This window comes from Homo sapiens, chromosome X, assembly GCF_000001405.40.
Source record: "Homo sapiens chromosome X, GRCh38.p14 Primary Assembly".
Classification (NCBI taxonomy): Eukaryota; Metazoa; Chordata; class Mammalia; order Primates; family Hominidae; genus Homo; species Homo sapiens.
The window spans coordinates 73,471,690-73,483,174 of NC_000023.11; the positions used below are offsets into that span (position 1 = coordinate 73,471,690).

Below are 11,485 nucleotides of genomic sequence, written 5' to 3' on the forward strand. Positions count from 1 at the left end.
GTTAAGTGTTGTTGTTGGATTGTACACCCTATCATTATGTGATGGCTTTTATTGTCCTTCTTGATTGTTGTTGGCTTAAAGTCTGTTTTATCTGACATAAGAATAGTAACTCCTACATTTTTTTGTTTTCCATTTGCACAGTAGATCTTTCTCCATTCTTTACTTTGAGACTGTGGGTGTCATTACATGTGAGATGGGTCAGTTGAAGACAGAAAATTGTTGAGTGTTGCCTTTGATCCAGCTTGCCACTTTGTGTCTTTTGAATGGTGTGTTTAGCCCACTTACATTTAAGGTTATTATTGATATGTGTGATTTTGATTTTGTCATTATGTTGTTAGCTAGTTATTATGTAGACCTAATTGCATAGTTGCTTCACAGTGCCTGTGTGCTACAAGTGTGTTTTTTGGTAGCAGATATCATTCTTTCAATTCCATGTTTAGCAATGAGTATGTTGTTAATAAATTGTGGCAGGAAATAATACAGGCATACCTGAAAGACATTCTGAGTTCACATACAGACTACTGCGATAAGGTTAATATTGCAAAACAAATTAGTCATGCAATTTTTTTGATTCTTTAGTACATATAAGAGATATTATGTTTACACTCTACTGTTGTTTATTAAGTGTGCTATGGCATTATATCCAAAAAACTGCATACCTTAATTTAAAATTAATTTATTGTTAAAATGCTAATGGTAATCTAAGCCTCCAACAAGTCACAATATTTTACTGGTGGAGGGTCTTGTTTTCATGTTGATGGCAGCTGACTGATCAGGGAGGTGGTTGCTGAAGGTTGGAGTGGCCGTGGTAGTTTCTTAAAATAAGACAATAATGAGGTTTGCCACATTGATTCTTTCTTTTATAAAAGATTTCTCTGCAGTATGTAATGTTGTTGGATAGCATTTTACCCATTAGAACTTCTTTCAAAACTGGAGTCAATCTTCTCAAATCCCACCACTACTTTATTAACTAAATTTATCTAATAATTAAAATCCTTTGTTTTCATGTCAATAATTTACAGTATCTTCACCAGGAGTAGATTCCATCTCAATAAATGACTTACTTTGCTCATACATAGAAAGCAATCTCTCATCCATACAAGTTTTATCATATTGTTGCAGAAATTCAGTCACATCTTCAGGTACCTCTTCTAATCCTATCTTGCTATTTTCATCACATTTGCAGTTACTTTCTCCACTGAAGACTTGAACCCCTCAAAATTATCTAGGAGGATTGGAATCAACTTTTTCCAAGCTTAATGTTAATATTTTAATCTCCTCCCATGAATCACAAATGTTTAGTCACATCTGGAATTATGAATCCTTCCAGATGGTTTTCAAAGTACTTTGTACAGATTGATCAAAGGAATTACAATCTGTGGCAGCTATAGCCTTATGAAATGTATTTCTTAAATAACAAGATTTACATTTAAAGTCAAAATAACTCCTTAATCCATGGGCTGCAGAATGGATATTGTGTTAGCAGACATGAAAACAACATTACTCTCCTTGTTCATCTCCATTAGAGCTCTTGGGTAACCAGGTGCATTGTCACTGAACAATAATATATTGAAATAAATTTTTTTATGAGCTGTAGGTCTTGACAGTGAGCTTAAAATATTCAGTTAAGCATGCTGTAAACAGATGTGCTGTCATCTGGGGTTGGTTGTTCTAGGGCACAAGCAGAGTAGATTTAGCAAATTCTTAAGGTCCCTAGGACTTTTTAAAATTTCAAATGAGCATTGGCTTCAACTTAAATTCACCAGCTGCATTAGCCCCTAATAGTCAGCCTGTCATTGGAAATTTTAAAGCCAGGCATTGACCTCTCCACTCTAGTTATGAAAGTTCCATATATTATATTCTTCTAATATAAGGCTGTTTTATCTATATTGAAAATCTTTGTAGTATAGCTACCTTCATCAGCTTTTTAAACTAAATCTTCCAGATAACTTGCTGCAGCTTCTACATCAGCACTTCTTGCTTCACCATGTAGTTTTATATTATGAAGACCACTTTTTTCCTTAAACCTCATGAACCAACTTTTTCTAGCTGTAAACTTTTTTCTGCAACTTTCTCATCTCTCTCAGCCTTCATAGAATTGAATACAGTTAGGGCCTTGCTCTGGATTAGGCCTTGGCTAGAGGGTATGTCATGGCTGGTTTACTATTCTATTATGACTACTAAAACTCTCTAGATATCACTAATAAGGATGTTCAACTTTCTTGTCACTTATAAATTCACTGGAATCACACTTTTAATTTCCTTCAAAAACACTTTTTTTGCATTTACAATTTGGCTTTTGGGTGCAAGAGGCCTAGCTTTCATCCTCTCTTGGATTTCTACATGTCTCTTCACTAAACTTAATCATTTCTAGGTTTTGATTTAAAATGAGAGAAATGTGACTCTTCTGTTCACTTGAACACTTAGAGGCCATTACAGGGTTGTTAATTGGCCTGATTTCAACATTGTGTCTCACAGAATAAGGAGACCTGAGGAGAGTGAGAGTGATGGAGAAACAGCCCATTAGTGGAGCAGTCAGAATACACACAACATTATTGATTAAGTTTTCCATCATTTATGGGTGCAGTTTGTGTGCCTCCAAACAATTACAATGGTAATATCAAAGATCATTAATCACAGATCACTAGAACACATATAATAATGATTAAAAAGTTTGAAATATTGCAAGAATTACCAAAATATAACACAGACACAAAGTGAGGACACGGTGTTGGCAAATGATACCAGATTTGCTCAATGCAGTTACCAGAAACTGTCCATTTATAAAAAAATGCAATATCTGAGAAATGCAGTAATGCAAAGTGCAATAAAACAAGGTATTCATGTACCTCAATGCAATGTTTGTCAATCCGCTACTCTACAAATTTGAGAGACCACAGTATGCTGAAATCCTAGGAGATCACCCTGGTACCCCCATGTCCCAGGTGTATGGAGCACCACAGCTAGAGAGATCATTTGTATAAATGGGAGGAATTTTGGGTTATACACCCTGGATGAGAAAAATCTTGCTTAATTACTTACTGAATCTTTATGATAATTCCTAAAAAACCCAGAAAAATATTCTGCAATTTTGCTTACAGTGACTCCTGTATTATGAAGTGACTGCTCCTGAGTATCATCAAAACCTGTGTGAGAGGTGATAACACTCTCTATATAGTTGGATATCTGTAAAGATATTTTTGTTTTCAGTTCTTCTCTTTTTTGAATGACATACCTTGAAGATAGGGTATGGCAGAATTGATTATTGTTTTCTCTTTGATTTTAAACAGAGAAAATAAAAAAGCGTATAACTCCTGTTGTGTTTTCTTACCATTTTTGTTATAAAGTTGCTACCTGTGTATTAAATAATGGACAATTGAGCGGCATGCTGTAAAGTGTTTAATTGCTTAGTTGACAAAGCTCCTTTTGAGTGTCAGTGATTCTATAACTTTAATATTATGCGCTTTTATACCATGCTAATGTTATATGACACAATGATCTAAGTCTTAGATTCAAAGATTCAATTCAGTTTAATAACTAACACACTCATTCATTTGTACTTCTTTTTATATGGAGCCTAAAGTAAAGAGCTCATCTTTTTCAAGTCATCCATGTTGTTCCTTAGGCTTTTTATCTTTGGTCAGATTTTTGAAGAATTGTGGCTTGTTTTATGGTTTTTGTATTTGTGTCTCATGCACATTTTAACATAATAAACACTGCATTGTATAGCTACAGCTTCTGGAAAAGTAAATCTTTTAGAAATTGTCTTTCAGATTGTCAATAAACTTTTTCTTTAAATTTCAAAAAGGAAAAGAAAAAACTGTCAAGAAAAGAAAATATTCAACAAAATTATCTTAAAAAAAAAAAGAAATTAAGACTTTCCCAGATAAACAAAATGTGAGAAAGTTCATCACTAGTAGGACTGCCATACAAAAAAAAAATTAAAATGAGTTCCTGAAGCTCAAATAAAAGGACATTAAACGATAAGTTAAAACCATATTTTAAAGAAAAAAACTGATAAAAGTAACAACACAAGTAAATATAAAAGGCAGTACTGTACCTTTGAATTGTAACTTTTCTTCTTATTACCTACATAATTTAAAGGTATATAAAACAACTATAGACCTATATTAATGGGCACAAAATGTTTAAATACATAATCTGTGACAATAACATAAGGAGGGGGCAGAGATTTACAGGAGCAGAGTTTTTATATGTCATTGAAGCTAGGTTGATAATAATTCAAATTCAATTGTTAGAAATTTAGGATATTAATTGTAATCTTCAAGGTAACTAAGAACAAAAATCACCTGGTGACTATCAAGCAAGCCCCATAGACAAATCGCCTTATCTGAGAAATGTGGAAGTATAATGAAGGGAGCAAAGATCCCTTGGTGACCATCAAAAAGGCCATCCAGAGGCAAAACTCTTTATCTGGGGAATTTAGAAGTAATTAAACTTCTCTAGTGTTTAAAGTCGGCTTCTGGTTCCAGGTCTTTTTTTTTTTTCTTTAATTTTACTTTAAGTTCTGGGACACATGTGTAAAACATGCAGGTTTGTTACATAGATATACATGTGCCATGGTGGTTTCCTGCACCTATCAACACGTCATTTAGGTTTCAAGCCCCGCATACATTAGGTATTTGTCCTAATGCTCCCTTCCCTTGACCTCACCCCCCGGGTTAGGTATTTGTCCTATTCTTTCCCTTCCCTTGACTCACCCCCTGACAGGCCCCGGTGTGTGTTTTTCCTCTCCCTGTGTCCATATGTTCTCATTGTTCAACTCCCAATTATGAGTGAGAACATGCAGTGTTTGGTTTTCTGTTCCTGTGTTAGTTTGCTGAGAATGATGGCTTCCAGCTTCATCCATGTCCCTGCAAACCAAATGAACTCAACCTTTTTGTGGCTGCATAGTATTTCATGGTGTATATGTGCCACATTTTCTTTATCCAGTCTAGCATTGATGGGCATTAGGGTTGCTTCCAAGTCTTTGCTATTGTAAACAGTGCTGCAGTAAACATATGTGTGCATGTGTTTTTATAGTAGAATAATTTGTAATCCTTTGGGTATATACCCAGTAATGGGATTGCTTGGTCAAATGGTATTTCTGGTACTAGATGCTTGAGGAATTGCCACACTGTCTTCCACAATGGTTGAACTAATTTACATTCCCACCAATGGTGTAAAAGCATTCCTATTTCTCCACAGCCTTGCCAGCATCTATTGTTTCCTGACTTTTTCATAATTGCCATTCTGACAGTCATGAGATGGTATCTCATTGTGGTTTTAATTTGCATTTCTCTAATGACTAGTGATGATGAGCTTTTTTTCATATATTTGTTGGCTGCATAAATGTCTTCTTTTGAGAAGTGTCTGTTCATATTCTTTGCCTACTTTTTGATGGAGTTGTTTGTTTTATTCTTATAAATTTGTTTAAGTTCCTTATAAATTCTGAATTTAGACCTTTGTCAGATGGGTAGATTGCAAAAATTTTCTCCCATTCTGTGGGTTTCCTATTCACTCTGATGATAGTTTCTTTTGCTGTGCAGAAGCACTTTAGTTCAATTAGATCCCATTTGTCTATTTTGGCTTTTGTTGCAATTGCTTTTGGTTTTTAGTTATGAAGTCTTTGCCCATGCATGTGTCCTGAATGCTATTGCTTAGGTTTTCTTCTAGGGTTTTTATGGTTTTGGATTTGACATTTAAGTCCCTAATCCATCTTGACTTAATTTTTGTATAAGGTGTAAAAGAGGGGCCAGTTTCTGTTTTCTGTATATGGCTAGCCAGTTTTCCCAGCACCATTTATTAAATAAGGAAGCCTTTCCCCATTGCTTGTTTTTGTCAGGTTTGCCAAAGATCAGATGGTTGTAGCTATATGGTGTTATTTCTGAGGTCTCTGATCTGTTCCATTAGTCTATATATCTGTTTTGGTACCGGTACCAAACAGATACTGTTTTGGTACCGGTACCAAGCAGATACTGTTTTGGTACTGGTACCAAGCAGATACTGTTTTGGTTACTGCAGCCTTGTAGTATAGTTTGAAGTCAGGTAGCCCGATGCCTCCAGCTTTGTTCTTTTTCTTTAGGATTGTCTAGCTATACGGGCTCTTTTTGGTTTCCATGCAAAATTTATAGTGTTTTTTTCTAATTCTGTGAAGAAAGTCAGTGCTAGCTTGATGGGAATAGCATTGAATCTATAAATGACTTTGGCAGTATGGTCATTTTCAAGATAGTGATTCTCTCTATCCATGAACATGGGATTTTTTTTCCATTTCTTTGTGTCCTCTCTTATATCCTTGAGCAGTGGTTTGTAGTTCTTGACGAGGTCCCTCATGTCCCTTGTAAGTTGTATTCCTAGGTATTTTATTCTTTTTGTAGCAATTGTGAATGGGCGTTCACTCATGATTTGGCTCTCTGCATGTCTATTATTAGTGTATAGGAATGCTTGCTATTTTCACACACTGATTTTGCATCCTAAGACTCTTCTGAAGTTGCTTATCAGCTTAAGGAGTTGTGGGGCTGAGACGGTGGGGTATTCTAAATATGGAATCATGTCATCGGCAAACAGAGACAATTTGACTTTCTCTTTTTCTATTTGAAGGTCCTTTATTTCTTTTTCTTGCCTGATTGCCCTGGCCAGAACTTCCAACAATATGTTGAATAGGAGTGGTGAGAGAGGGCATCCTTGTCTTGTGCCAGTTTTCAAAGGAAATGCTTCCAGCTTTTCACCATTCAATATGATATTGGCTATGGGTTTGCCATAAATGGCTCTTATTATTTTGAGATACGTTCCATCAATACATAGTATATTGAGATTTTTTTAACATGAAGGGATGCTGAATTTTATTGAAGTTCTTTTCTGTATCTATTGAGATAATCATGTGGTTTTTGTCATTGGTTCTGTTTATGTGATGGATTATGTTTATTGATTTGTATATGTTGAACCAGCCTTGCATCGCAGGGATGAAGCCGACTTGATCATGGTGAATAAGCTTTTTGATGTGCTGCTGGATTTGGTTTGCCAGTATTTTATTGAGGATTTTTGCATTGGTGTTCATCAGGAATATTGGCCTGAAATTTTTGGTGGTGTTGTGTCTCTGCCAGATTTTGGTATCAGGATGATGCTGGCCTCATAAAATGAATTAGGAAGGAGTCTCTTATTTTCTATTGTTTGGAAGAGTTTCAGAAGGAATGGTACCAGCTCCTCTTTGTACCTCTGGTAGAATTTGGATGTGATTCCATCTGGTCCTGGGCTTTTTTTGTTGGTAGGCTATTAATTACTGCCTTGATTTCAGAACTCGTTATCGGTCTATTCAGGGATTCGAGTTCTTCCTGGTTTAGTCTTGGGAGGGTGTATGTGTACCGGAATTAATCCATTTTTTTCTAGATTTTCTAGTTTATTTGCATAGAGGTGTTGGTAGTATTCTCTGATGATAGTTTATATTTCTGTGGGATCAAAGATGATATCCCCTTTATCATTTTTTATTGTGTTTACTTGATTCTTCTCTCCTTTATTCTTCATTAGTCTAGCTAGTGGTCCATCTATTTTGTTAGTCTTTTCAAACTACCAGCTCCTGGGTTTATTAATTTTTTGAAGGGTTTTTTGTGTCTCTATCACCTTCAGTTCTGCTCTACTCTTAGTTATTTCTTGTGTTCTGCTAGCTTTTGAATTTGTTTGCTCTTGTTTCTCTAGTTTTTTAATTGTGATGTTACAGTGTCTATTTTAGATCTTTCCAGCTTTCTGTTGTGGGCATTTAGTGCTATAAATTTTCCTCTAAATACTGCTTTAGCTGTGTCCCAGAGATTCTGGTACGTTGTCTCTTTGTTCTCATTGGTTCCAAAGAACTTCTTGATTTCTGCTTTAATTTCGTTATTTACCCAGTACTCATTCAGGAGCAGGTTTTTCAAGTTCCATGTAGTCGTGCAGTTTTGAGTGAGTTTCTTAATCCTGAGTTCTAATTTGATTGCACTGTGGTCTGAGAGACTATTATGATTTCAGGTCTTTTGCGTTTGCTGAGGAGTGTTTTACTTCCAATTTTGTGGTCAATTTTAGAACAAGTGCTATGTCACTCTGAAAAGAATGTATATTCTGTTGATTTGGGGTGGAGAGTTTTGTAGACTTCTTTTAGGTCTGCTTGGTATAAAGCTGAGTTCAAGTCCTGAATATTCTTAATTTTCTGTCTCATTTATCTGTCTAATATTGCAGTGAGGTGTTAAAGTCTTCCACTATTATTGTTTGGGAGTCTGATTCTCTATGTAGGTCTCTAACAACTTGTTTTATGAATCTGGGTGCTGTTGTATTGGGTGAATATATATTTAGGATAGTTAGCTCTTTTTGTGGCATTGATCTCTTTACCATTATATAATGCCCTTCTTTGTCTTTTCTGATCTTTGTTGGCTTAAAGTTTGTTTGATCCAAGTCTAGGTTTGCAACCCCTGCTTTTTTTTCTGTTTTTTACTTTCCATTTGCTTGCTAAATATTCCTCTATCCCTTTATTTTGAGCCCATGTGTATCTTTGCACGTGAGATGGGTCTCCTGAATACATAACATACGGATGGATCTTGACTCTTCAACCAATTTGCCTGTCTGTGTCTTTGAATTGGGGCCTATAGCCCATTTACATTTAAGGTTAATACTCTTATGTGTGAATTTTATCCTGTCATTATGATGCTAGCTGGTTATTTTTCACATTAGTTGATACAGTATCTTCATGGTGTCATTGCTGTTTATATTTTTGTGTGTTTTTGTGTGTTTTGGCTGGTACCAGTTTTTCTATCCATATTTAGTGCTTCCTTCAGGAGATCTTGTAAGGCAGGCCTGGTGTTGACAATATCACTCAGCATTTGCTTCTCTGGAAAGGATTTTGTTTATCCTTCACTTATGAAGCTTAGTTTGGCCAGACATGAAATTCTGGGTTTAAAATTATTTTCTTTAAGAATGTTTAATATTGGCCCCCACTCTCTTCTGGCTTGTAGAGTTTCTACTGAGAGATCCGCTGTTTGTCTGATGGGCTTCCCTTTGTAGGTAACTTGACCTTTCTCTCTTGCTGCCCTTAACATTCTTTCCTTCATTTCAACCCTGGAGAATCTGGCAATTATGTTTCTTGGGGATGCTCTTCTTGTGGAGTATCTTTATGGTGTTCTCTGTATTTCCTGAATTTGAATGTTGGCCTGTCTTGGTAGGTTGGGGAATTTCTCCTGGATAATATCCTGAAGTGTGTTTTCCAACTTGATTCCATTCTTCCTGTGACTTTCAGGTACACCAATCAATCATAGGTTTGGCTTTTTCACACAGTCCCATATTTCTTGGAGGCTTTGTTTGCTCCTTTTCATTCTTTTTTCTCTAATCTTGTCTTCATGACTTATTTCAGTAAGTTGATCTTCAATCTCTGATATCCTTTCTTCTGCTTGATTGATTTGGCTATTGATACTTGTATATGCTTCACGAAGTTCTCATGCTGTGTTTTTCATCTCCATCAGGTCATTTATGTTCCTCTCTAAACTGGTTATTCTAGTTAGCATTTCCTGTAACCTTTTATTAAGGTTTTTAGTTTCCTTGCATTCGGTTAGAACACACTCCTTTAGCTCAGAGGAGTTTGTTATTACAAACTGCTGAAGCCTACTTCTGCCAACTCGTCAATCTCATTCTCCATCCAGTTTTGTGCGTTTGCTGGAGAGGAGTTGCAATCATTTGGAGGAGATGAGGCATTCTGGTTTTTGGAATTTTCAGCCTTTTCCCACTCATTTTTTCTCATCTTCGTGGATTTATCTACCTTTGTCCTTTGAGGCTGATGACCTTTGAATGGGGTTTGTGGGGTGGCGGGGGGCGTCTTTTATGTTGATGTTGATGTTGTTGCTTTCTGTTTGTTAGTTTTTTTTCTAACAGTCAGGCCCCTCTTCTGCAGGTCTGCTGTGGTTTGCTGGAGGTCCACTCCAGATCCTGTTCACATGGGTATTACCGGTGGAGGCTGCAGAACAATAAAGATTGCTGCCTGCTCCTTCCTCTGGAAGCTTCACCCCAGAGGGGCACTGGCCTTATGCCAGCCGGAGCTCTCCTGTATGAGGTATCTGTCAGCCCTGTTGAGAGGTTTCTCCCAGTCAGGAGGCTCAGGAGTCAGGCACTCACCTGAGGAGGCAGTCTTTCCCTTAGCAGAGCTGGTGCAGTTTGCTGGGAGAATGTCTTTTGTCAGAATCAGCTGCTCTCTTCAGAGCTGGCAAGCAGGAATGATTAAATCCACTGAAGCTGCACCCACAGCTGCCCCTTACCCCATGTGCCATGTCCCAGGGAAATGGGGGTTTTGTCTGTAAGCTGCTGACTGGGACTGTTATCTTTCCTTCAGAGATGCCCTGCCCAGTCAAGAGAAATCTAGAGAAGTAGTCTGGCCACAGTTGCTTTGTCACACCCAGCCCAGACCTCCCAGCCTCCTTAGCACTGTCAGGGGAAAACCGCCTACTAAAGCCTCAGTAATGGCGGACACCCTTCCCCACACCACGCTGGACTCTCCCAGGTTGACTTCAGACTGCTGGGTTGGCAGCGAGAATTTCAAGCCAGTGTTTCTTTGCTTACTGGGCTCTGTGGGAGTGGGACCCACCGAGTGAGATCACTTGGCTCCCTGGTTTCAGACCCCTTTCCAGGGGAGTGGACAGTTCTGTCTCACTGTGGTTCCAGGCACTTCTGGGGTACAAAAAATAAAAAATAAGCACAGTTCCTCATGGCTTCCCTTGGCTGGTGGGAGGGAGATCCTCAGCCCCTTGTACTTCCTGGGTGAAGTGACCCCCACCCTTCTTCTGCTCACCCTTCACAGGTTGGAGCCACTGCCTAACCAGCCCCAGTAAGATGAACTGGATACCTCAGTTGGAAATGCAGAAATCACCCACCTTCTGCATAGGTCTCACTGGGAACTGCAGACTGGAGCTGCTCCTATTCGGTCATCTTGGCCCCTCCACTCGAACCTACAATTGATTGGAGTGCCAGAAGGAGATGGGGAGAATGGAAACAAGCTGGAAAACACCCTTAGGGATATTATCCAGGAGAACTTCCCCAACCTAGTAAGACAGACCAACATGTAAATTCAGGAAATACAGAGAACACCCTTAAGATACTCCATGAGAAGATCAAACCCAGGACACATAATCATCAGATTCTCCAAGGTCAAAATGAAGGAAAAAATGTTAAGGGGAGCCACAGAGAAGGGCCAGGTCACCTACAAAGGGAAGCCCATCAGACTAACAGTGAACTTCTCAGCAGAAACTCTACAAGCCAGAAGAGATTGGAGGCCAATATTCAACATTCTTAAAGAAAAGAATTTTCAACCCAGAATTTCATATCCAGCCAAAGTAAGTTTCCTAAGTGAAGGAGAAATAAAATCCTTTCCAGACAAGCAAATTCTGAGAAATTTTGCTACCACCAGGCTTTCCCTGCTAGAACTCCTGAAACAAGCACTGACTATGGAAAGGAGAAACTGGTACCAGACACTACAAAAACA

The 11,485-nt window shown here is 37.8% G+C and overlaps 1 pseudogene, besides 1 other annotated feature; it reads left to right on the forward strand.

Moving 5' to 3' along the window:
* On the forward strand, nt 2,847-3,341 carry MORF4L1P6 (mortality factor 4 like 1 pseudogene 6; annotated as a pseudogene).
* Nucleotides 9,970-11,169: an enhancer, noted in NCBI's record as "CDK7 strongly-dependent group 2 enhancer chrX:72701495-72702694 (GRCh37/hg19 assembly coordinates)". NCBI's record gives its function as "activates an origin of replication core promoter dependent on BRD2, BRD4, P300/CBP, MED14 and CDK7 cofactors, with strong dependence on CDK7, by STARR-seq in HCT116 cells {active_cell/tissue: HCT116}" and the evidence as "EXISTENCE:reporter gene assay evidence [ECO:0000049][PMID:35650434]".